Here is a 25919-nt window from a genome sequence, read left to right on the forward strand (position 1 = left end):
TCTTAATAACTAGGACGTTGTGAGAATTAGGGAGAAAGGAAATTTGGAAAATTGCTTTCTCTACTGATAGTTAAAGTGAGCCAGCTGGGCTTTCAGTAGGGAGAGGGAAAAGGAGTAGATTGCACATCTGCCACAAGCCCCTCCCCTGAAGCCTAAACTTCCCAAGGGCACCATCACTGAGTCCCCAAGCCAGCAGATGTAACACACCTGTGACAGGTGAGGAGCAGGGCCTCCAGGAGAGGCATTAATGTTAGATGTGAAGCTGCTTAAAATGATCCCACCTGAAAACTGACAGTGTTCATTCTCAAACAGCTCTACAAGATCATAGCCTTAAGTAACTGAATGTCAGTAAGAACAACAGTAAAAGTATTCCTTGGGCATTTACTATGCCAGACACAAGTCTCTTAACTTATCCAATGCTCACAAAAACCCAGTTAGACAGTGAGTACTATTATTACATCCCCATTTTTCAGACAGGGGATCTGAATGTGTAAGTAGCATGCACAAGGCAAAAAATGCTAATAGTGGCTGTTCTGGTTATCTGCTGCTGTGTAGTAAACCACTCCAAAACTTGCTCGTGTAAAACAACCACCATTTTTTTGTGCTCAGGGATTCTAATGGTCAGGAATTCAGACAAGGGCTCCAGAGAACTGGCTGGTCTTTGCTCTATAATGTCTTGCTATCAGCTGGGAAGACTTGGGTAGCTGGTGGCTAGAATAATCTGAAGGCATTCTTATTCATATGTTTGGCACTCGGGCTGAGATGACTTGACCATCTGGGCTTCACTAGGACAGCCAACCAGAGTGTCTGCATATGACCTCTTCATGTAGCTTGGGCTTCCTCACAGCATGGAGGCCCTCAGAGTAGTTAGACTTCCTATGTGGTAGCTCAGGGCTTCAGGAGTAACTATTCCAGTGAATAAGGTAAAAACAGCATCTCCGTTTATGATCTAGCTGAAGTCACATAGTATCACTTCCGCCCGCCCACATTCAAGGGTACAATATACATGACAGGACATAGACTTCACATCTTGATGGGGGGAGGGTCAAAGAATTTGCAGCCATGTTTAAAAACCATCAGAGTGAAACACAAATTTGACCCTAGTCAATGCCTCAGTTTAGCCACCATTTCATTGGGAATGACCTAAAAAATATAATCCAGCACCTGAGATTTGTATAGTCTTTTACACTTCACAAATCAATTGCTTGATTTGTGAAACTTATGCTGGTATTTCTATCCCTGTTGTACAGTTAAGGAAACTAAAGCAGCTCTGAAACTTAAGTAACTTGCCTAAAGCCAAATAGCTAGTAATTCTGACCTCCTGAACCCAAGTCTAGGGCTCTCTCCTGTAAACACTGGTCTTGACTATAGCAAGTAGCTTGGGCTGTGATTCAGAGGCTCCAGTTAAACCACTTTTCAAAAACATCTCTTCTAACAATTAAAGTTTGATTCCTGTGGGTTTGGAAGGAATCACTGCTTTTGGCAGTACGCAAATAGCATAAGATGAGTATGAACAATTACCTGTCTCTCCTCCATAGGGCAAGACTTAAGGCAAAACCCTGCTGGGAAGCAGAAGGGGCTTAAGTGACAAGGACAAAAAGGTCAAGGGAGAGGAAATGCCACCACTGAAAGACATACTATGAGCCTGCGGCTATGCCAGGTGCTTTATTTTCCTCATTTCATTTAACACTTCTAAAGACACGACAACATTATCTCCCGTCCCATATGCTCTTGTACAATCTGATATTGTCACTCTTCTAATGAGAGCTGGGGTCTAATTCCCATACTCTTTAGTCTGGGCTGGCTTTACAACTCACTTGCAACTAAAAGGATGTGAAGAAAATTATGCCATCTGACTCCCCAGGCTAGGTCAGAAAAGGCCGTACAGCTTCTACATGGTTCTCTTGGGATGCTTGCTCTAGGATAACCCAGCTGCCATGTAAGAAGTCAACTAAGGGCTGGGTGCAGTGGCTCACGCCTATATTCCCAGCACTTTGGGAGCCAGAGGTGGGTGGATCACCTGAGGTTGGGAGTTCGAGACCAGCCTGACCAACATGGAGAAACCCTGTCTCTACTAAAAACGCAAAATTAGCTGGGCATGGTGGCGCATGCCTGTAATCCTAGCTACTTGGGAGGCTGAGGCAGGAGAATCGCTTGAACCCAGGAGGCAGAGGTTGCAGTGAGCCGAGAGTGCGCCATTACACTCCAGCCTGGGCAACAAGAGTGAAACTCCATCTCAAAAAAAAAAAAAAGTCAACTAAGATTGTCATTCCAGATAGGCCACATGTAGGTACCCCACTCAACTGTCCCAGTAGAGCCCAGGCTTCCAGCCAACTCCACCAAGGTGCCAAGCATGCATGACACCATCTTGGATTCTCGCAGCCAATCCATCCACCAGCTGTGCAACCTCAGCTGACACCACAAGGATCACATAAATGATCCAGCCAAGTCCTGCTCAAATTCCTGACCCACAGGATCTATGAGATTTAATAAAATGGTGGTTGTCTTAAGTCATTACCTGTTGGGGTAGTTTGTCATGCAGCAAGTGTAATGGAACACACGCCTTCATTTCCTGTAATCTTTATGACAATCATTGTTATTTCCAGATTAGGAAACCAGGGGAGAAGAAATTAAATAACTTGCCTAGCACTGGCCAGCTGATAGTTAGGGCTATAGCCTGGATCTTTTTGAGCAGGCAATCTCCGCTGCTTTGACTGACACATGTTCCTTTTGATGGGCGAGACAGAACCTGGATGAAAAGTCTGCAGAATGCTAAGGAGAAGCAATGTCTCTCTCATGCTTTTGTCTGGGTCAGGCTGGTCCCAAGATAATTAATTATGAAAACAAATACCTCTCCCACAGGCTGTAGAGCTAGACTCCAGCAGCCACCACCAGAAGCTGGACTTAAGCAGGACTTGGCTGGATCATTTATGTGATCCTTGTGGTGTCAGCTGAGGTTGCACAGCTGGCGGATGGATTGGCTGTGAGAATCCAACATGGTGTCACGCATGCCTGGCACCTTGGTGGAGATGGCTGGAAGCCTGGGCTCTACTGGGACAGTTGAGTGGGATACCTACATGTGGCCTAGCTTCTGAAGCCTCAGCTTCAGGAAGGTCTTGGAAAAAACTGTTTGTTGGTTGTATCTTTCTGGGGTTCACAAAAGACAGGAAACAGCTGGGGAAAACAGCTGGGGAAAGAGAGATGTTTGTCACCAGTTGTGAAGTCTCTCTGGGACAGTGATTAAAGTGCCCTTTACTGCCTGCCTACAGACTGACTTCCCATCTCAGTTAATGGCAATTCCATTCATCCTGATGTTCAGACCAAAAACTTTGGAGTCATTACCAATCCTTTCTTTCATATCCCCATCCAATCCATCAGCAAATCCTGTTGACTCTATCTTGAAAATATACCCAGAATGTAACCACTTCTTATTTCCTCCCCTGTGACCACGAGAATCAAGCTACCATCACCGCTTGTCTAGATTATTGCAGTCACCTCCTCACTGGTCTCCCTGCCTCCTGCCCCCTTGCCTACTGCCACTGCCGAGAGGCCTTTCTTGGCCATCCCAGATAAACAGCACAGGCCTCCTTTAACCTTTCCTCCTTATTGAGTTGTGTCTTTCTACATGGCACTCATCTTTATTTATGATTTATTCTCTGTCTCCCCCTTTGTATGGATGGGATTTTGTCTGTTTTTTTTTCACTGCTTTATCCTCAGTACCTAGAACAATATTTAGTGTGTAATAGGCCTGTAATAGTTATCAAATGTCATTGAATGAATTGAATCACAGACTTCCTTAAAAATCTGATGACAGCAGAGACCTTCTGCTCAGATCAATACTTGCACAGGCCTTGTTTTGCAGACAATTTCTGGGAGTCCCCAGATTTCGTGTGTCCATGCAAGTTAAGAGCCTCTGCTTTAGAGTGACAGTTTCAAAAGGCAGGAAGTCTAACCTCTGAATTCTAGAGAGTTGGATGTCAATCTCTAATTAGACTCGAGTCAGGTCTCTAGTTATTTAGATTATTCTTTTATCCACTCAACCAACATTTGTTCCGTGTCAGCTGTGTGATAAGCTCTGTGCTAGCCCCTGTGCTAGGGGAACAGAGGTATCTGTTCTTAAGGCCCGTAGACCAGAAGAAACATCACCAGGTAAACACCTAACTCTAATAAGATCACTTCAAAACTGAAGTGTTGTGCATCGTTCAGTGAAGATCTAAGGGATGCCATGACTAACTTTTCTTAGGTGACCTAGGAAGAACCCACAGAGAAGGACAGGCTTGAATTGGGTCTTGAAGCACGAGTAGGAGTTTGTCTGGCAGACACCAGGGAGAAAGGGTGAGACAGGCAAAGGGCCAGCAAACATCCTGGCATCCACAAAGAGAAAGCCACACATTTAGTCTAAAAATTCAACTGCAACAAAACTGTCTTTGTTTAGACTTCCCCTAGAAGCAGACCTGCATCAAGGATTTGAGCATAAGTCACTTATTTGGGGATCTGAAGGGAGTATGGGAAGAGAACTGTGAAGTAATGAGGAGTAGAGAAGGCAGCCAATAGAGGGGGCATTGCTAAATTACTTACAGACACTGGGCACCTGGAGGTTAACCCCCAGGGAAGCTCTGGGAAATCATGTACAACACATGGCTCAGAATTATCTCACTCCAGGATAATGAAGCTAGGGTATGTAGACACTGACTCCTGAGCATTGAGAGTTATCGTTGAGGGCTGCATCTCCATTTTTTCTATCTTTCCCCAACATATTGGCTTGGTCCTCAGACCAGCTTTCTCCATACCAATCACGATGGCAAAGGGAAGTGGGATAGCCCCCAACTGTCCTGAACCAATCATGGTCCAGCCAGGAGCTGGGGGTGGGATCAAACTCATTCTTCCATGATGGCCCCCATAGTGGAGGGGTTGATAGATGTTGAGGAAGAAATCTCAATGGCTATCAAATCCCTCTTTTCATACATGAACTCATCTTTCAACTTCAAGATGTGGTTTAGGAGGCTCTGAGGAACCGTGGCATGTGTTCGTAGTTCCAGGTGGCTGTTGTTTGATTTGGTGGCTCCCTAGATTTGGGGAGATGACCAAGGTCCTGGTTGGTTCAGTCTTCTATGTCTGACTCTGCCATATTTCACCAGTCACTGTTTGCTGAAAAGCCTCCTACCTCCCACAGATTTTAAGTTCTCTGGTTTTGAGTTTCAACATCTCCCTCGATCAATTTTAGGAAACGTGATTCTTATTACTCAAGAAAAGAAAAAGGAGTGGGGGAAATTGAGAGGTGACATTGAAAAGCCCTGGACTGGGGTGATGATTGACATTCAGGGAGAGAGCACAGACCCTTTCCTGTGAGGCTAATTTTGAGAATAATAAAGCAAAGGGGTCCCCTCCCTCCGTGAAAGCTGCCTTGACATAAAAGGACAATTGTTCTGCAGTAGCTTTCAATTACTTCCCTCTGATGCTATCTAGCTAAACCTGAACTGGTTTTGACGGGTTCTGGAGAGCTTTTTAGTTTAGTTGCTCACAGCAGGGGCAAAGCATAAATTGAGCAGCCCAGAAGGCTGAGACCTTAAGCAAAATGGAAGACTTCCCCAGGTTGAGACATCGAATCAATAACAAATAGCATTCTGTGCTGTGGACACCAAGGTGAGCATCAGGAAGCCTAATATTTATTTTTTCCTTTCCCTGCCTTCAAAAAGTGGCTTGGAAGAGAGAGAAAAGTCCAGGCTGATGCCTAGGGGTGTGGTTCTGGAGACAGAAGGGGTAGAGAAACAGACAGGCATCAAATTTTTCAATCAATTCTTGAAAATATTCATATAGAATCTTTAGGGCTGTATTTTTGCCTGGAGCTAATTACCTTAAACCTAAATCACATAGCGCAATAGGATAACTAGGATAACTGCTTTCTTGGAATTCACTGTCCTAACAGAAAGGAGATTCTCAGGACTGACTCTTTAGTTAATTTGGGGGCAGGAAGAGAAGTGGAGTGGAGAGTGTGGGAAGGGAAAACCCATAAGGCCATGGTTCTCAAATTTTGCTGCCTTCTACAGTCACCCAGGAAGCTCTCAAAAAGCTCAATTCCAGCCAGGCGCAGTGGCTCATGCCTGTAATCCTAGCACTTTGGAATGCCGAGGTGGGGAGATCACTTGAGGTCAGGAGTTTGAAACCAGCCTGGCCAACATGGTGAAACCCCATCTTTACTAAAAATACAAAAAAATTAGCTGGGCATGGTGGTGGGTGCCTGTAATCCCAGCTACTTGGGAGGCTGAGGCAGGAGAATTGCTTGAACCACTTGAACCCGGGAGGCGGAGGTTGCAGTGAGCCAAGATCACGCCACTGCACTCTAACCTGGGCGACAGAGTGAGACTCTGTCTCAAAAAAAAAAAAAAGAAAAAAAAAAAAAAGCTCAATTCCCAGACTATACTTCAGATCAATTAAATTGGAATCCCTGGAGGTGGGATCTGGCTTCAGTGTTTTAAAAAACTCCCCAAATGACTCCAATGTGCAACCAAGTTTGAGAATGAGGGTCTCAAGGTGGCATTTCTTAAATCTAACGTGCACACAAAGCACCTGGGGATTTTGTTAAAATGCATATTCCAGTTCAGCAGGTCAGGGGTGGGGCCTGAGATTCTGCATTTCTAATAGGCTCCCGGGTGATGATGATGTCACTGGTCTGTGGACCACCTTCAATTAGCCGATCTTCGGATGTTTCTTTAACACCTGAAGGGAATGGAGCCACTAACAAGTCACAGAACAAAGCAAACCACTTTTCAGAACACACAGCTCCCCACTTAAAACCTTTCTGAGAGGATTCCTCTGTACTGTTAAGATACATTGCAAACATCTTACTATGGCCTACAAATCATCACCTGGGCAACTTTTGACAAAGCTCCAAAAAATCATAGTCTCTGGGGTAGGGCTTGGACTTTGGTAGATTTTTAAGATTCCCCAGGTGATGCTGATGTGCAGCCAGGGTTGAGAACCCTGTCCTAAGTCCCTGTGACAATGTCCTAAGTCATTGGCTCCTGCAGTTTCTATCAGAACAGCCCTTTTCCCAAATCCCCATGGCTATATTCTCACTGGGCATTGTTGATTGTATGAAGGGCAGGCAGTGGGCTTAAGCTACAACATTGTGCCCCTTCCCTGGGAAATTAGGTGTGAGACCCAGCTTGATCTGGCTATTCCTGTGTATTAGTCCGTTTTCACACTGCTGATAAAGACACACCTGAGACTGGGCAATTTACAAAATAAAGAGATTTAATGGGACTTACACTTCCACATGGCTGGGGAGGCCTCACAATCATGGTGGAAGGCAAGGAGGAGCAAGTCATATCTTACATGGATGGCAGCAGGTCAAGAGAGGGCTTGTGCAGGGAAACTCCCATTTTTAAAACCATCAGATCTCATGAGACTCATTCACTATCACAAGAATAGTGCAGGAAAGACCCACCCCCATAATTCAATCACCTCCCACTGGGTTCCTCCTATGACATGTGGGAATTGTAGGAGTTACAATTCAAGATGAGATTTGAGTGGGGATGCAGTCAAACCATACCATCCTGTTAACCCAGGAAATATGTAGTGGGGAGCAGTTGGTCACCATTTCCCACAGGTAGACCGGTAACAGAGAAAGCTGCTCTGCCACAGGAATCCAAAGAAGAAAAACAGTGGGACTTGGGACTCGGGGCTGGGTGGTGGGGAGGTTTCCAGGTCTCCCAACTTGGGGTTATACATGGCAGAGCATGAGAGAATCTCAGTAACTACCACCTTTGTCTCTGGAAGAGGGCCAGTTTCCAGGCTGAGGGGCTTCATGCAACTGTCCCTGCAGCTTAGAAGGTCTAAGATGACCCACAAACCTGGAATAGTCAAACCTTTTAGGAAAGATCCCTAAAAATCAGCTTAAACACAGCATTTCTGTGTCATAGCAACATCCACCTCCTTTAAAATTTATAAAAAATGAGCAGATATTTTGCAAGCTTCAAGAATAAGGGCTTTTGGGGTCTCAAACTGGTTCTATTTGTAAAGGAATCATCAGTCTTTAATTTCTGCAGCTGCAACTTCTAAATCTAGGCTCTCTGTTGACTTTGGGGGTATAATTGCATGTCTTTCCTGTTTTCTCATCTATGAACTGGAACTAAGAGTACCAATCTGATCGGATTGCTTTGAAGAATAATAAAAGGGTTATGAATCATGCTAGAGACATGGAAATGTCTCTTATGAATGAGTCACCATCTCCAGGAGGCACTGCTGTAGAATAGTGAAAAAGAGGCCTTTGGTGAAGATTTATTGAAATCCCAGCCTATTCAACTATCCAATTATGTGATCTTGGATGAATTACCGCCCTGGGCTTCAGATTCCTCATTGCAGATACTGACTAACAATGCCTATTTTGCAGAACTTTTGTAGGAATTGAATGAGATAATGTATGAAGACACCAGATATACAGTAGGTGTTCAAAGATATGTTTCCCTTCCCTCTGTGACCTAGATTAGTTAGGATATACCCCTTGTTACAGTATGGCTGTGATAAAAGACTACCTTTCCTCTCCAAATAACAATGGCTAAAATCAGCTAAACATTTCTTTCTTTCTCATGTAACAATCTGAACATTGGGAATCCAGGTTGATGGATAGTTCTGTGGCTTTGGGAGCCCTAGGCTTTTTTTTTTTTTTTTTTAAGAGACAGGGTCTCAGGCCGTCACTCAGGCTGGAGTGCAATGGCATGATCATGGCTCACAGCAGCGTTGAATTCCTAGGCTCAAGCAATCCTCCTGCATCAGCCTTCCAAGTAGCTAGGACTACATGGTGATGCCATCACACCTGGCTAATTTTTTGTTTGTTTGTTTTTTGTAGAGGTGGGGTCTTCCCATATTGCCCAGGCTGGTCTTGGCCTCAAGTGATCCTCCTGCCTCAGCTTCCCAAAGCACTGGGATTACAGACCACTGCACCCCGCTGCACTCAGGCACTTTCTATCGTGCGGTCCTGCCAACTTCAGTATGGAGCATCCATCTTGTAGTTTAAGATGGTGATTTTTAGCTAGGAGGAAAGAAAGAAGGGGCAATAGACAGCAATCCTCTCCTCTTTGAGGGCGTGGCGTAGAAGTTCTGCTCTCATCCGTTGGGCTAAATGTAAGCTAATTGCAAATGCAGCAGCCCCGTTTTTGAGATGAAACCCCAGCTCTACCATTTACTATCTATGTGGCCTTGGCCAAGTCACTTAACATATTTGTGCTCCTGTTTTTAAACATTTCATGAAGTTATTGTGAAAAGTACATGGGTTAGTAAATCTAAAGCATTTAGGATAATTACTCAGCACATATAAAAGTATAAACTATTAATATTTTTATTTGTGTAGCTACTTAGCCACACCTAATTGTGAGGGACACTGGGAAATATCTTTAATTAGGTGGCTGTCTGTTCAGCTAAAGTTTTAGAATTCTATATTTGAAGGAGGGAAGAGTGGACACTAGCAAACAACCAGAGTTTCTGCCATATCTGGGTAGTTAAAACAAGTGAAAAGACTACAGAAGGGACATGATTGTAATCTCTAATTTGGGTCTTAAAAAGCCTACATAGGCTAGGCGTGGTGGCTGATGCCTATTATCCCAGCACTTTGGGAGGCTGAGGCGGGTGGATCACCTGAGGTCAGGAGTTCGAGACCAGCCTGGCCAACATGGTGAAACCCCATCTCTACTAAAAATACAAAAAATCAGCCGGGCGTGGTGGCAGGTGCCTGTAATCCCAGCTACTCGGAAGACTGAGGCATAAGAATCACTTGAACCTGGGAGGCAGAAGTTGCAGCGAGCCGAGCTTGCACCATTCAACTCCAGCCTGGGTGACAAGAGCGAAATTCCGTCTCAAAACACACAAACAAACAAAAACAAAAAGCCTACATAAGGCCAGGCATGGGGGCTCATGCCAGTAATCCTAGTGCTTTGGGAGGCTGACGCAGGAGGAGCACTTGAGGCCAGTAATTTGAGACCAGCCTGGGTGACATAGTAAGACCCTGTCTCTACAAAAAACAAACAAAAAAAAATTTTAATTAGCTGGGCATGGTGGTGCATGCCTGTGGTCCTAGCTGCTTGGGAGGCTGATGTGGAAGGATTGCTTAAGCCCAGCAGGTCGAGGCTACAGTGAGCTATGATTGCACCACTGCACTCTAGCCTGAGCAACAAAGTGAGACTCTGTCTCAAACAAAAACAAAACACAGCCAGGCGTGGTGGCTCACACCTGTAATCCCAGCACTTTCGGAGGCTGAGGAGGGTGGATCACCTGAGGTCAGGAGTTTGAAAGCAGCCTGACCAATGTGGTGAAACCCTGTCTCCACTAAAAATACAAAAATTAGCCAGGCTTGGTGGCGCATACCTGTAATCCCAGCTACTTGGGAGGCTGAGGCAGGAGAATCACTTGAATCCAGAAGCAGAGGTTGCAGTGAGCTGAGATCCCGCCATTGCCCTCCAGCCTGGGCAACAAGAGTGAAACTCTGTCTCAAAAAACACAAAACAAACAAAAAAACCCTACATAAAACTCCTCCTTGTGTGATAAAGCGAATGTGCACCATTCCTAGAGATTGAGAGAAGAAAAATAATAACAATATGTGAGGCTCAGTGCCCAGTTGGATCTCACCTGTCCACAATGCCATATTTGGAGGCCTCATAATATTCTGACTTTATGAAAAGTACCACGTTTTTTAACCCCATTCTCTCTCCAGATCTTGTTGAATGCTTACCATCTGCCAGGCACTAGGCTAGGTGTCCATGGTGAATTCTCTTCTCTCTGGCAATGCCATCATGCTCTGAAGGTTGTGAAGGCCCTCACAGGCAAGGCATCAGGACTCACCACTGTGATAGCGCAGCTCCCATGAAGGCATCCCCTGCTCCTTCCCCACCAGCCTCCACCCTCCGAATGTGTCAGGAGATCTAACTGGCTTTTCTGGTTACAGATTCACCACGTCAAGAGAGGGGAGGAACAGTTTGTCATGCAGTCATACACCTAATGCTAACATTACTTCAGCTTGTGCAATGGAGGCCTTGCTACCCCGGCCCAAAGCCTCTCCCCCAACTCCCAAAGCAACCACAGGCTGGGCCCAAAGGACCAGTTACTTACCTTCCAGCAAAGTGGATTTGAACATGGAAATTAAAAAACAAAGGAGTGATTCTTGGCATTATAAAAGATAGGCAATAGAATTTCCAGAAAAACCTTGTAATACATTTTACCTTTTATTTGCCAGTAACTCTTCAAGAATGCATACTTAAATATATCTTTTGTACAAAGTTGATGTTTTATTGATGTTACTTGGTGGTGACTCTTTAGATAAAGACCCTAGCCACCTTTAAATTTCTCAGCTCCATCTTGTCTCCTCAAATAGTTTACTGTCCATAAACAAACACTTAAATGTTTGTTGGCTCCTTTGGCTCAGAAGAGCCCTCCAATTAATTCTTTCTACAGCAAAAGAACCTGGTAAGCAAATAACCACTCCATAAACTGCTTGCCTAATGTGTTCCTTTCGGAGAGTCTTCTGGTGAGGCATGTTTTGGGTGTAATTACTCTGTTTTGTTTTTTTGTTTTTTTTTTTTTGAGACAGGGTCTCCCTCTGTCACCAGGGAGTGCAGTAGTGAAACTGTGGCTCACTGCAACCTCAACCTCCCAGGCTCAAGCGATTCTCCTGCCTCAGCCTCCTGAGTAGCTGGAACTACAGGTATGTGCCACCATGTCCGGCTAATTTTTTGGGGGTTTTTTGTTTTTGTAAAGATGGGGGGTTTCACCATGTTGTCCAAGCTGGTCTCAAACTCCTGGGCTCAAGCGATCAGCCCACCTCAGCCTCCCAAAGTGCTGAGAGTATAGGCATTAGATGCCATGCCTCGTCTGCTGTCCAGTTTTTTGATGTGCTTCTGATTTCAATTTGCAACTATCGTGGCACTTCTTTAGAAGTTGTCAGCTTTGGATGGACAGGTTCCTGCTCCTCCTTGGGCAGAAAAAGGCGTTAGCTTTAGGACCTTCATATTCACCTTTTCCAAGAACTTTTAAGGGGGCCTAGAATTTTTGTGAGTAAAATACAAATAAAGCCTGTAGGTTTTGGCCCGTGGATTTTCGACAAGGTGCTATTAACATGCACAAGGTATTTTTAGCAGCCACTGCCTTGTGATTTCCCATCATTCCACAGAACTCCTAGAGCAGCTCCTCCAAACTCAGATGATCTTTTCTCTAAAACCAATGTCCATCTCACTTGGGCTTCATCCTCAAACACAGTCATTCATGGGTTTCCATCTGCTTTGTCATTTATGCTGTTTCCTTCTTTGAATGGGCCCCTTCAAGACCTGTTTCAGGTAAACATGCCCTTTCTTCAATAAACCTCAGTTATTTTCTGCTCTGCAACCTGATTGGGGTTAACTAAGCCACCCTACAAAGGACAAAGTTAACTGTGTGTATCCACCCACCCCCACCCCATCCTCTAGTCCTCTTATTGATTTTTGTGGAAAAATGTATGTGTGTATACATTTAAATATATATAAAAATTTAAATTTTCTACTGATTTGTCACAGTAATTGCTAAAAAAAAGTAAAAAGTCTGAAGACCAGGAAAAGACTCAAGTATTTCACCCTTCTAAGATTATACACACACACACACACACACACACACACACACATATATATACACACACATACCCTGTGCCCTTTCCCTATCTGGAACAGGATGGGAGTATGGTTTGACCTCAAGCTTCATAAATGCTCATTCATGGAATTTCTCCACATCTTGCCCTTTGCCAAGTACAATTTACTGAACATTTATTGAAGGAATGGAGAGGGAACAGGGATGACCCATTGTCTCCTATGCTGCGGGGGTAGAGGGTTGAAACTCCCTCTAGCTGCATTTCTCAGCAAACACACTGGTCATAATGCATCTTGTTGGGACAGGTTGTGTCCCTCTTTCTAGAATTTCCTCCCCTGTCCCCTTGTTCTTTCCTTAGCTAACTTTGAATAGCCCTTGAAAATAGTTTAAATGGCTGCTCCTTGAGGAAACTGCCTGAGCCCCAGGCTGACCTCACTGTCCTCCCCTTACATGGGGGTGGCCCTGGGCCCACCTGTGGCCTGGCAGGGGTCCCACCCATCACTGATGTACTGGTCTCTCTCATTCACTTGATGACCTATTCATTAAGGGAAGGGATAGTGTCTTATTGAGTTGTGTATTTTAATAGTGAGTGGCATATTAGATAAATAAATGTTGAGCCAATGGATGCAGCTAAGAACTTTGAGAAATCCATCTTTCTCATTAAGGTCAAGACTCCTAAGAATTTTTTTTTAAAGAGACAGGGTCTTGCTCTGTTTCCCAGGCTGGAGTGCAATGCCACAATCATGGCTCACTGCAGCCTCAACCTCCCGGGCTAGATCCTCCCACCTCAGCCTCCCAAGTGAGTAGCTGGGACTACAGGTATGCACCACCACATCCAGCTAATTTTTGTATTTTCTGTAGAGACAGGGTTTCACCATGTTGCCTAGACTGGTCTTGAACTCCTGGGTTCAAGCAATCCGCCCACCTCGCCTTCCCAAAGTGCTGGCATTACAGGCATGAGCCACTGCCCCAACACAGAAAAATTTTTTTTAAAATCAGTTACCTAATAAAATTATTCAAAGAGTTAAGATAGTGCTTGGCACAAAATAGGCCAACAATAAATTAGTTATTATTACATCTTCTAAGAATGCCTACTTCTAAATAAGTTAATTCTTAACATCCCTCCATAGTCTCCCAATCTGAAACTTCCCTGGTTCAGAAAGCCCTCTTCTGCCATTAGCAGCATCCCATTTGTTTCACGTTTTATTCACCACTCTTCTAAATATTTCCTCCAGCTACTCTGCTCTTAAGCGTCACCCTCTTGACCCAAATTTTGTGTCCTCTGAGGCCTCTGGAGGGCCTTGCAGGGAGGTGGGAGTCTGAGGCAGCTGGAGAGAGAAGAGAAAGTCTTCTTGCTTTGCCTGAATCAGAAGGCATCAACTGATGGTTCTCAGATATGTTTGTTTGGCCCACAAAGGCGACACACTGTGTTTTAAAATAAAGGATACTAGCTGCCAATATTAATTAATAAAAATTGGGATTTCTGTCAACACTAGGCCCAAATTCTTACAAGGCAATAATCAGGTGGGGCAGAAACTGAGATGGCCCCTTTCGAGCATTCGTGCTCCTGTTCGCCACAAACACCCCTGCGCCCGCCCCAACTCCCTATTCTGCCCCAGCTGAGTTCAAACGTTGGGGCTGATTTCATGACATTCACAGTTTCTCCAAGTGTTATTTTCCTCATAGGAAGAGGAAAGTGAAATATTTCTTGTCCCTATGTCTCAAACTAAAGAAAAAAATGAGAGTGAGACCCAGGAGGTCATATGTTTTGAGAAAAATAAAGTGAATGTACTCTTTGCGTAAGTGAAGAATTTGATACAAAGTTAATATGTAAGCCCAAATGTGTCTGGTTCAGAAGAATACAATTCAAGAGGCCATTCTGAAAACAGTCTGGCCCAAATCACTTATTTTCTTACCTTATATGCCTAACCCTGTTGTCATTTGGGCTTAAAACCTCTGGTCAAATTGACAGAGCCTCTTGGAACTCAAACCCACCCGAGATCCAAAAGTTCATTACTGAATGGATTTAGGTTCCATCTCTTCCTATTTTCAAATTGAAGATGGACTAGGCTGACCGGTGGCTTTGGGGACTGGAGTGGGAAGAACACTCTTACTTCTCAGCCAAGCTCCTGTTTTCTTTCGCTATAAGACAGGTATTAATAGCAAGATGAAGGGAGGCAGGACGTTCTAAGATGGATAAACCACAGAATCCAATGTGCCTGGAGAGTGTGAACTACTGTTTGGATTAGACAGCTCTATTTTTAATCAATCATGAGTAATTATTTTTATTTTCTTAACTTTTCTTTTTGAAACAATTTCAGTCTTTAAAAAGTTGCAAAAATAGGCCGGCCATGGTGACTCACACCTGTAATCCTAGCACTTCGGGAGGCCAAGGAGGGCGGATTGCCTGAGCTCAGGAGTTCAAGACCAGCCTGGGCAACACGGTGAAACCCCATCTCTACTGAAAATACAAAAAATTAGCCGGGCGTGGTGGTGGGCGCCTGTAGTCCCAGCTACTCGGGAGGCTGAGGCAGGAGAGTTACTTGAACCCAGGAGGTGGAGGTTGCAGCCTGGGCAACAGAACGAGACTCCATCTCCAAAAAAAAAAAAAAGTTGGGAAAATAGTAAAAAGATTTTATATAAGCTTTTACTGATACTCAAAATGTTAACACTTATTTAAGTATAAGTATCAAAATCACGAAATTAACACTAATACAATGTCATTGTATCAATGTAACACTGATACAATGTTTATCTGATCTACACAATGTATTCTAATTTCACCAATTGTCCCACTATTGTTCTTTTTCCAGCCCAGGCTCTAATCCAGGATGTCACATTGCATTTCATTGTCAGGTCTCCTTAGTCTCTTTTAGTATGGAACAGTTCCTTAGTGTTTGTCTTTCATGAACTTGACACTTAATAAACTGTCCCTCAATTTCAGTCTGTCTGCTCCCTCCTCATGATTAAATTCAGGTTATGCATTTGGTAAGAATATCACAGAAGTGATGTTGTATCCATCTCACTACATCATATTAGGAGGTACATAATGTCTGGTGATATCCCAAAGGTTTCTCCACTGTACAGTTATGAATTTCAAAGGGAGAATAGTATCCTCTGAAGACTTTGAAATGATATATCTTTTTGTTATTTTGTTACTTCTATTTTTTAAGAGATGATGTAAATATCCTTTTTCTCATCACACTTTCACCCACTAATTTTAACATTCATTGATGATTCTTGAATGAAACCACCATAATTTAAAATTAGAATAACAGTGAAGAGAAACATAAACCTATGAAAATTACCTAAAAAATGGGAATGTCCCTTGATCCTCTCTTTCTCAGAGAGCAGGTGGAAGTCATAAGCTGTCCATTTATTTCTTTCAATTATTAATGAGTCCTGGGCTTCCATTGAATGGCCTGGGCCCTACAGACCTTTGAGAGTGCTGTGTCTTATGACTTTGGTTGGTTGAGTAATATGGCCTTGTGGCATCCATATTTTAGACTCTGCATAAACCCTTAACCCTACACTCCATGCTAACAGATCTTAGATTTTTCTGTACTAATTTGCACAGGACCTGCTCATCCTGGCACATGTGGTATCACTTGGGCTGTACCTGTTTCCATTTTCTTCTCCATTTTTACAAATCAAATACTTCCCACAAGTCTCAGCTTGAAGCTGTCTTCTGTGTTAAGTCATTATGGGAGCCCAGGGCTTAGCTTTTCTTTTGACATTTTTCTGCACTTAAGAATGAAGCTTGGAGCCAGCATGGTGGCTCATGCCTGTAATCCCAGCACTTTGGGAGGCTGAGGTGGGAAGATCACTTGAGTTTAGGAATTTGAGACCAGCCTGGGCAACTAAGTGGGACCTCACCTCTACAAAGGATAAAAAACAAATTAGCTGGATGTAGTTGTGCCTGCCTGTAGTCCCAGCTACTCAGGTGGCTGAGTGGGGAGGATTGCTTAAGCCTAGGAGGTCAAGGCTGCAGTGAGCTGTGACTATGCCACTGCACTCCAGCCTGGGTGACAGAACAAGACCCTGTCTCCAAAAAAAAAAAAAAAAGTTTGGGCCTCAGCATTTGTTCAATACCTCCTATAGCAGGGGGCAGACAAGGAAGGGTAATTCATATATCTTGAGAAGTTGTAAAAGAAGTGCATAAAGTCAATGAATTCTAAAACAAAAAAGAAAATAACAACAGCTCATGGAAATCCAAAGAAACCACAGAAAAGGTGGCATTTAAAATGGGCCATGAAGACTGCAGATTGTGAGCTGTGTGTGAAGGTGGGAGGCTTTGTAGGCTAAGAGAAAAGCTGGCTATGGGCATAAAGTGGTCACACTTACAGTGATATATACAAAGTGTATCTGGGGCTGAAACAGTATGCATTCTAAAGTGGTTGAGAAAAGGGATCAGAAGAGATAGGCTGAATATCTTATATAGGCCCTTATGCTGTGCACAGTGGTACCTTAGTCTGGGGTTTCAGGACAATAATTCTTGCAGGAAGACGGAAGGTGGACTGGATAAGGGTGTTATTGGAAGAATGGGCACCAATCAGTAGAGTTTCAGGTGGAAGATAATCACCCAAATGTAGGCAGCAGTTGGAAAGGGGCAGCTAGTTTTCAAGCAACCAGTGTATAATTTTTTCTCTGTGATTCTGAAATCCCAAAAGCTGAAACCAAAATTTTTTTTCCTGAGCTTGCAGAAAACATATTTGGTAGAAAAACATAACCTAAACAGATGTGAAGCTATTTATTGTCTTTGTCTTTATCTCACCTAGATTAAAAGACAGCCACAATTCTTTACTGCTCCTCCCATCCACAGGTGGTATCTGTTTCCCCTCTGCGTGACTCTGGCTGGCCTTGTCATTCATTGGCTTAGACCAATAGAATGTGGTGGAAATGAGTCCGTGTAACCTTCAGGGCTGGGCCTTAAGAGATCTGCTTCTGCATTTGCCCCTCTTAGAAAGTCTCTTCCAGTAGCCAGCTGCCAGGTAGAAGTCCAACCACCATGAGCTTATCATACTGTTAGAAAGCCCAAGTTGAAAGGGCACTGAAATGCTCAAATGGGAATGAAGACTTTTTGGACTTTCTGGCCCTGCCAAGTCACCAACTGAAAGCAGCTGAGTAAATGACTCCAATCACACCATGCAAAGCAGAAGAACCTGCCAGCCAAGCCCTTCCCAAATTCCTGACACAACAGATTTCTGAGCAAATAAAATGGTGATTTTAAGCCACTAATATTTTGTGAACATTTATTACATTGCAGTAGATAATCCAAGCATACACTTATGTCATTCATGATTTCCCTTGCAGAAAATTAGTATATTAGAGTGTCACCCCAGACCTTACCAAAGGTATTATGTAATATATGGTACATGCACATTTTACCTTTCTAAATTGAAAAACAAAATCTGAATTTAGAAATTCATCTGACCCCAGGAATTTTAAGAGAGGATTGTCCTTTGTTAATATTATGGAAATAAAGTTGTCTAGACTCCGTCTTTTACGTTCACTAAATGTCATGCATAATGCTTGAGTCTCCTCCAGCCATTTCATGTATGTATCTCTTATTTCCCCAAACTCATTAACAGTTTCTCTAAAGCAGCAGCTAACTTCAGCATGCATCAGTGTCTTTTGGAGGGCTTGTTCAAACACAGCTTCCTGGCTCCACCCTCAGAGTTTCTGATTCAGAGGGTCTGGGGGTGGGGCTTGAGACCTTGCATTTTTGATAAGTTCCCAGGGAACTTACCTGCTGTTGGTCCAAGGACCACTTTGAGAACTACTGCTCCAGGGAGAAGTGCTATATTTTAAATTTTAAGAATTTACCCACCAGCCCAAGGTGCTTACCAAATGCACATGGATGGAATCTCTCCAAATCTACATCTTTGCCATGCTTTTGAAGCCTTAACTTTTACTCCTGGAGGTCTTCCTGGCTAGGCCCTAGACTTAAAAGACACTAATTCCTTGTTTTATTTTATTAGATTGTCGTTTTTGCTTTCTTCTCAGCACACTTGATAAGACACTGTGAAGAAAATGTCCCTTCTGATCTCGTTTTTAACCTGTCTTGGAACAGATCAGCAGAAATGCCTTCACTGTGAATCAAAGATACCCTCGATTTATAGCCAAAGATTATTTCCTTTTCTTTTGGTGGCTTCCAGATAAAATGTTTCTTGCTACCCTTTCACAAAATAGAAGGAGGGACCAAGCGGAAGATAATCTTTTTGTTCAGAGGTCCATCTGTCAAAGCCTGCATTTTAGAGATGGCATTACTGAGGTCCAAAAACTAGAGCCACTCGCTCTGGGTCATACAGCCGATAAACGCACGCAGCCGAGCTCAGTTCTTCCCTGACCCTGTTACAAACTGCCTCACTAAATGAGGACCCCCATCCCCTTCCCATGCCAGGAAAGCACAGCTCATTTGTCCTAAAGTTAACATTACACAAATCACACCCTTCAAGCCTTCTTGAAACATTTTTTTTCCCCGAGGGTGACGGGACGGTTACGCTGATTCATCCTGGCCAGGGACCCCAAACATCTCCCCTCCTCCGGCCCAGGCGCCGTCACCCAGGCTCCACCGGTCCGCGGGACAGAGCCGCGGAGAGCGCCTGGAAGCGTCGCGCCCTCAAAGCCAAGCGATTAAGTTGGTTCCTCAAATTGTTCCCGACAGGAGGGGCAGGAAATAACACCGGGCTCTGGCGGCGGCCGCAGCAGGAGGGGGAGAAGAGCGGGCCGTCTCCCGGGCAGTGCTGGCGGCCTCTCATCGATCTCGGGTCTAAGGTCCGGCCGGGTCATCATTCCTGCCATTTCCACAGCATTCGAGGTACCACATCACCCCCTGCCTCGGTCGTCGCTCAGTCATTCCCTCCGCGCCGAGTCCTGGAGCGGCGGAGTCCCTGGAGGCCTGGGTTTCCTTAAGGGGCCCCAATGCCCGCAGCCCCCGACCCGCCCAGGTGGAAGGAAACAGGCTGCGGGCCTGGGCCAGGCGGGGCCTGACAGAAGTAAAGGCCGGGAGGGGGAGCGGAAGACGGCCAGAAGGACCCCTGCGCCCTCTCCTCCGCGCCGCCCGCCAGGCTGCCAACCCAGCCACCCTGGGTGCGACGCGGCGCCTTCTCCGCCGCTGGGAGTCGGGCAACAGGTGAAGAGGGCGGGCGTCCGCGGCGCCTCCGCGGGGCGGTCCCTCTCCTGCCCGCCTCCCGCCCGCCCCTCTCCCCGCCCCCTCCCCTCCTCCGGGCCTCCACCGCCTTCCCCGGCTGCCCGGCAGCCTCCCCTCGCTCGCTCTCCTCTTCCTCTAGGGCCCCAGCGCAGCTCGGGAGCCCGCGCACCGAGGCGCTAGGGGCACCGCGCACTAGAGGGACACCCGCCGCGCCTGGACAGCCCCCGGCGGGCGCCCCCCTCGCACCTCCTGCCCCGCGCGGGCCGCGCTCCCCTCCCCCGCGCCTGTGTCCCCAGGGCGCAGGGCCGCGCGTCCAGCCCCAGACCCGCCGGGGTCCCTGGGGACGCGCCAGCCCGGCAGTGGCTCGACGATGGAGGAGCCGCAGCGCGCCCGCTCGCACACAGTCACCACCACCGCCAGCTCCTTCGCAGAGAACTTCTCCACCAGCAGCAGCAGCTTCGCCTACGACCGGGAGTTCCTCCGCACCCTGCCCGGCTTCCTCATCGTGGCCGAGATCGTGAGTGCCGACGGGCCGGGGGTGGCGGGGGGCTCAGCTGGACCCCGGCGCGTGCTTCCGCCGTGCTTCTCGGGATGGAGCCTGCTCAGATCTTCCCGCGGGCTTTAGGGAACCGTTTTTGCTCAGCCTCGCCTTCTTCCCAAAGTGAAAGACTCTAAACAAGGTCCAGGAAACTCGGGCTGTCCTGGGAAGAAAGGGTTGTGATCCTCAGGATGTCTTGCTGTGGGAGAAATTCAGCTTGTTGGGTCCTCTCGGTGGCGGCGGCAGATCCTGGGAGCAGGAAGCTTGGCTTAGTGGCTATTGAGTTTGTGTTGAGTGTCAGAGACACCTGGTGCCTTTCTCACCTGATCTCCACGTGGATGGCCTCCTCCCTGAAAATAAAGCTTCCTAAGATCAGGGGAAGAGGAAAGGGCTTCTTTCTTTTCCTAATTATCTCCCTGGTAGTAACATTGAGGTGAGTCAGGAAAATTTTACTGAATAAAATCTGAGTGCCATAACCTATTTTAGGACCAAAGAGGTCTTTTGCATGGTGCTGTGCACATCCTGGTTTAGGCTCAGAACATTCCTGGGAAGGAGGCAGGGCATGGGCGTTCTTCTCTTCATTGGAGGGCATAGAGGCTGAAAACTCACGTGATCTTCCCAGAAGTCCCAGCCAGTCCTTCATAGCTGAGAAAGGACTGGAGTCCTGTCAGCAGTTAGAGGTGGTCACTGTTTGAGTCTTCTTCGTGTACCAGGATCTTGTCAAGCCCTTTAGATGTCCTCATACCCTCGTGTAATCCAACGACCACCCTCCCCTGTGAAGGCCTAGAGAGGGGACGTAAATCACACCGGTGGATGGTGAAGCATGGATTCAAACCCAGGCCTGCCTTTCTGCAGGGCCGTGCTCATAACTGCAAGCAGTTGAGACAGCTTCCAGCTGCCCCAGCAGTGCCCCTCTGTCATCTCTCACAGACTTTTGTTAAATATTTGGGAATTGAAAATGAGCCTATGTGGGAGTTAGAGAATGGGCACACCATCATGGTGCAGAAGTGACTGAAGACCTGGGCGGTTCCTTTGAGAAACCTGAAGTAAATCTTGTGTACCTCAAGTAGCTTGCTTGCTCCCCCAGTCTCAGATACCACCCGGACCTGCTCTATGAAGCCCCTGGTGGTCATAATGCACATAAGGTATGAGAAGTGTTGGCTTAGCTCCTCTCCCAGCTGGTTCCCTCAGCGAGTATTGAGGACTTCAGGAGACTCAAAAGCTGAAGGTATTGGAATCGCCTTGCAGGGCCTAGCTTTTAGGAGTTCAACAAATATTTGCTGTGCAAATGAAGGAGTTGGCAGGCTCCTCTGCTTCAGCAGCGCAAACAAAAGCTAAAATGACAGAGATGGGCCTTCTACCTTGGGGTGGATTTGGGCCAGGCATGAAGTATAACGCCTTTGGGTTTTTTTCTGATTTATTATCGATATGCTCTGTGTACTGCGCTTTTTCAGGAAATACAAAAGTGAAAGAAATGTAAGTGGCCCACAATCCCATTACTAGAAATAATCACTGTTGACATGTTAGCATGTATCCTTTTAGATTTCATTAAGCGTTTTGAAAAAGATGGGAAAACATGTAAGCAAAATCACCCTTATTACTACTATAGTTTTTATTTTTGACAGAGCTAATTATGCACCTTTTTTGTTTGTTTTGTTTTGTTTTGAGACAGGGTTTTGCTCTGTCTCCCAGGCTGAGGTGCGGTGGCACCATCATGGTTCACTGCCGCCTTGACCTCTTGGGCTCAAGCGATCTTCCCATCTCAGCCTCCCAAGTAGCTGAGACCACAGGCATGCACCAACACACTTGGATAATTTTTAATTTTTTTCTAGGGACGGGGTCTCTCTGTGTTGCCCAGGCTGCTCTGAAACTCCTAGGCTCAAGCAATCCTCCTGCCTTGGCCTCCTAAGGTGCTGGGATTGTAGGCATGAACCACTGTGCCCCACCTTATGCACATATTTTAAAGATTCGGTCCTACAGGCAGAAATATAAGTTTCTCCCAGTGTCTTCATCTCTTTGAGCTCTAAACAACGTGTTTATAATGCTGTTTATTGGTGTTCCCTCACCCACCCAGTCATAGACATTATCCATTGCCTTTCTACTCTGAAAGATGAGGCTTTAGCTGGGATGCCCTCTTCCCTGCCTCCAATTATACATACCCTCTTCCTGTCTCCCAATATAGGTCCAAACACTTCTGATGGTTCAACTTAGGAATTTTCAGCTTTACAGATGTTGTAAAAGCAGTATGCATTCAGTAGAAATCATACTTCGAATTTTGAATTTTGGTCTTTTCCCAGGCTAATGATATTCGGTAGATATTTTTTCATGATGCTGGTCAGCTCTCAGCCACCCATGCCATCACCAGCGCAAACCACCCATCCTCTCCAGCATGCTGTGCTGCTGGGTGATTCTGCCAGCTGTAGGCTAACCTAAGTGTTCTGAGCACGTTTAAGATAGGCTAGGCTTAGCTATGATGTTTGGTAGGCTAGGGGTATTAAATGCATTTTTGACTTCGGATACTTTCCACTTAGGATGGGTTTATCAGGATGTAACCTCATTGTTAAGTCAAGGGGCATCTGTATAGTCTTCAGGTGATTTGGGTTAGATCAGCAGCCAGTGTTGACCTATGACACTGTAAATACCACTTACAACTGACCCAGTGCGTAGACTATGAATGCTTTTCCTTTCCTGCCCAATTTCTTGTTTGCCCTGGTGTTAGTAATTCTCTTTTCTCATTTCATAATTTCTCCAGATATTTAGTCACTAATTTAACCCTAGTTGTTTAAGTCTCCTATCAAGAAGCTGAGAGACATCAGGTATTCTGTCAGAATCGTCTTCATGACTGGCCTCTCTGGGAGCCTCTGGCCTGGTGGCCTGCACACAGCTGGCCGACTGGGCTCTCCTGCACCATCACTCTGAAGATTCTCTTCCTTTCTTTCCTGGGTTGGATCCTCTGCTTCCCATGTCCAGTGTCCTCTGTCTTGCTTTGCTCCCACTGGGGGGACACACAGCCTCTTGTAGTTTTCTAAGAAAGCATGCATGTGGAAATGGAAATTTGCACCTTTCAGAATAGCTTGATTCTATACACAATTCCTAGTTCAACTAGGTAGAGAGTGTTAGACTGAAAATGTTTTTCTTCAGAATTTAAAATGTATTCTTTTATTGTCCTTTAGCTATTCTGATTTAATTTTGTTTTGTTTTGTTTGAGACAGTGTCTTACTCTGTCATCAGGCTGGAGTGTAGTGGTATGATCACAGTGCAACCTACCCCTCCTGGGCTCAAGTGATCCTCCCACCTCAGCCTCCCAAGCCAGCTGTGACCACAGGCATGGGCCACCATGCCTGGTGGATGATTTTTTTGTATTTTTTGTAGAGACAGGGTTTCGCCATGTTGCTCAGGCTGGTCTCGAACTCCTGAACTCAAGTGATCTGCCCACCTCGGCCTCCCAAAGTTCTGGGATTATAGGCATGGGCCACTGCACCTGGCTGTAAAAATTTTTATTTCAATTATTTATCTCCCTCTACCCCCTGACTTCTGGAAATGTGTTGAACCTTCTTTTTCCCAGAGATCTAAAATATCACAATGATGTGCCTTCATATGAGTGTGTTTTCTCCCAGTGTACTGGGCACCTGGTGTGTTCTCTCAAATAAGGAAAATTCACGTAAGTTTCAGGAGACTCCTCCCCATTTTTACAAAGGTATTTTAGTAAACAAAATACAATTTTTTTTTTTTTTTGAGACAGAGTCTGGTTCAGTTGCCCAGGCTGGAGTGCAGTGGGTCTCATAATGTCACTCAGGCTGGAATTGCAGTAGTGCAATCCCAGCTCACTGCAACCTCTGCCTCCTGGGTTCAGGCAATTCTGGTGCCTTAGCCTCCCAAGTAGCTGGGATTATAGGCGTGCACCACCAAGCCTACCTAATTTTTGTATTTTTCATAGAGACAGGGTTTCGCCATGTTGGCTGGGCTGGTCTCGAATTCCTGACCTCAAGTGATCCACCTGTCTCAGCCTCCCAAAGTGCTGGGATTACAGGTGTGAGCCACCTCACCTAACCAAAATAAAATGATAGCTCTCTTAAAAGTTTATAAAAATAAACATTTATACATTGTTGGTCAGGCGTGGTGGTTCACACCTGCAGTCCCAGCACTTTGGGAGGCTGAGGCCAGCAGATTGCCTGAGCCCAGGAGTTTGAGACCAGCCCAGCCAACATGGCGAAAACCCATCTCTACTGAAAATACAAAAATTAGCCCAGCATGGTGCTGGGCATCTGTAGTCTCAGCTACTCGGGAGGCTGAGGCAGAAGGATCATTTGACCCCAGGAGGTCGAGGTTGCAGTGAGCTGGGATTGCGCCACTGCATTCCAACCTGGGTAACATTGTGAGACCCTGTCTCAAAAAAAAAAAAAAAAAAAATCACATTCTTTTAAAAGTATAGGTTGGGAGTGTATCCTCGGACACATTTTTGGATAATTGTCTTCTCTTCTCAGCTGCAGTCCACTCAGACTGACTTTTACATTGTGAATTCAGGAAGGCAGTACAGCTCACTGTGGTTGAATGCATTTGACCTGTGTTCAGTTTCTGGTTCTGCTCTTCACCATGTACAGTGTGAGCCATTCTTTCAATTCGAAAGTATCTCATAGAGTTGTCAGGACCCAAACAACACAGCTGTGCATGAAATGCTTAGCAAAATACCCTGGATTACTCTTCAGTTATCTCCTTCTCTCATTGATGCCTCTCTTCAGCTTCCAGTTTTGCTGTTTTGCTTCCAGCCTTTTCCTTTGGTATATTTTAACTCCAGCAAATGCCAGACAGAGAATTAATGGTTTCTCTGCCAAGATATTATAGCAGCAGGGATGAGTATTCAAGCATCTTCCAGTTCATGGTAGACCAACTTTGAATTCACTCCTGATCAACATAGCTGCCCCCTGCGCCGCCCTGACAAGTACGTGAGGAGAGGGAGCTGTGGAAGGTCAGGTCCAGGGAGCTAGAAGGTTTGATAGTTTCTGGCTGCAGAACCACCTGCACTTGCCCTGCACACCAACCAAGATCTTACCTAAGGAGTTTTTTTGAGACAGAGTCTCACTGTGTCACCCAGGCTGGAGAGTGCAGTGGCACAATCATAGCTCACTGCAACCTGGAACTCCTGGGCTCGAACAGTCCTCCCGCCACAGTCTCCTGAGGAACTGGGATTACAGACATGCACTGCCAATTCTCAGCTAATTTTTTGTTTAGAAACGGGGGTCTCACTGTGTTGCCTAGGCTAGCCTTGAGCTCCTGGCCTCAAGCAGTTCTCCTCCTTAGGCCTCCAAAAACACTGGGATTGCAGGCATGAGCCGTTGCGGCCAGAAGATTTTTTGTTTAATTCGAATTTTCTCTTTCCATTTTCTCAGTTCTTTCTAAAACTCCTTTTATACTTTTTTCTTTGCATATATTTTCTCATGATTTTTTTCTAACTGATCTGTGATATGCTGTTTGCTTTTACTATGCCGTGAACATTTTTCAGGGTCTTGGACCTTTTGAATTATTACCGTTTTCTGTCGTAAAGAAGTACCATACCTGGTTTCCCCAGTTTTCTATTTTAAAACTAATGTGTTTCTAGGGTTTACTAGCATAACCAGTGCTGTAGCA

General features: G+C 45.5%; 1 protein-coding gene and 1 pseudogene across 3 annotated transcripts in view, besides 3 other annotated features; one reads left to right on the top strand and one right to left on the bottom strand.

Annotated features, from left to right (window-relative positions):
* Positions 697 to 897: a silencer, noted in NCBI's record as "peak4587 fragment used in MPRA reporter construct". NCBI's record gives its function as "represses an SCP1 promoter by STARR-seq MPRAs in K562 erythroleukemia cells {active_cell/tissue: K562}" and the evidence as "EXISTENCE:reporter gene assay evidence [ECO:0000049][PMID:32103011]".
* Positions 7809 to 9008: an enhancer, noted in NCBI's record as "CDK7 strongly-dependent group 2 enhancer chr3:32268147-32269346 (GRCh37/hg19 assembly coordinates)". NCBI's record gives its function as "activates an origin of replication core promoter dependent on BRD2, BRD4, P300/CBP, MED14 and CDK7 cofactors, with strong dependence on CDK7, by STARR-seq in HCT116 cells {active_cell/tissue: HCT116}" and the evidence as "EXISTENCE:reporter gene assay evidence [ECO:0000049][PMID:35650434]".
* Positions 19346 to 25919, top strand: part of CMTM8 (CKLF like MARVEL transmembrane domain containing 8) — a 132130-nt gene continuing 125556 nt past the window's right edge. For 2 of the 3 annotated variants that reach the window (NM_178868.5, NM_001320308.2), the window contains exon 1: positions 19834 to 20273. In NM_178868.5, coding sequence (NP_849199.2) covers positions 20127 to 20273 — 147 coding nt within the window. In that variant the 5' untranslated portion in view covers positions 19834 to 20126. Of the gene's footprint in view, positions 19424 to 19833; positions 20274 to 25919 lie in introns of those variants that run through there. The other variant, XM_011533416.4, reaches the window with a different exon arrangement.
* Positions 19638 to 19847: a silencer, noted in NCBI's record as "silent region_14167". NCBI's record gives its function as "represses an Ori minimal core promoter by ATAC-STARR-seq in GM12878 lymphoblastoid cells {active_cell/tissue: GM12878}" and the evidence as "EXISTENCE:reporter gene assay evidence [ECO:0000049][PMID:35858748]".
* Positions 25001 to 25172, bottom strand: SMIM11P2 (SMIM11 pseudogene 2; annotated as a pseudogene).

Source organism: Homo sapiens, chromosome 3, assembly GCF_000001405.40.
Source record: "Homo sapiens chromosome 3, GRCh38.p14 Primary Assembly".
NCBI lineage: Eukaryota > Metazoa > Chordata > Mammalia > Primates > Hominidae > Homo > Homo sapiens.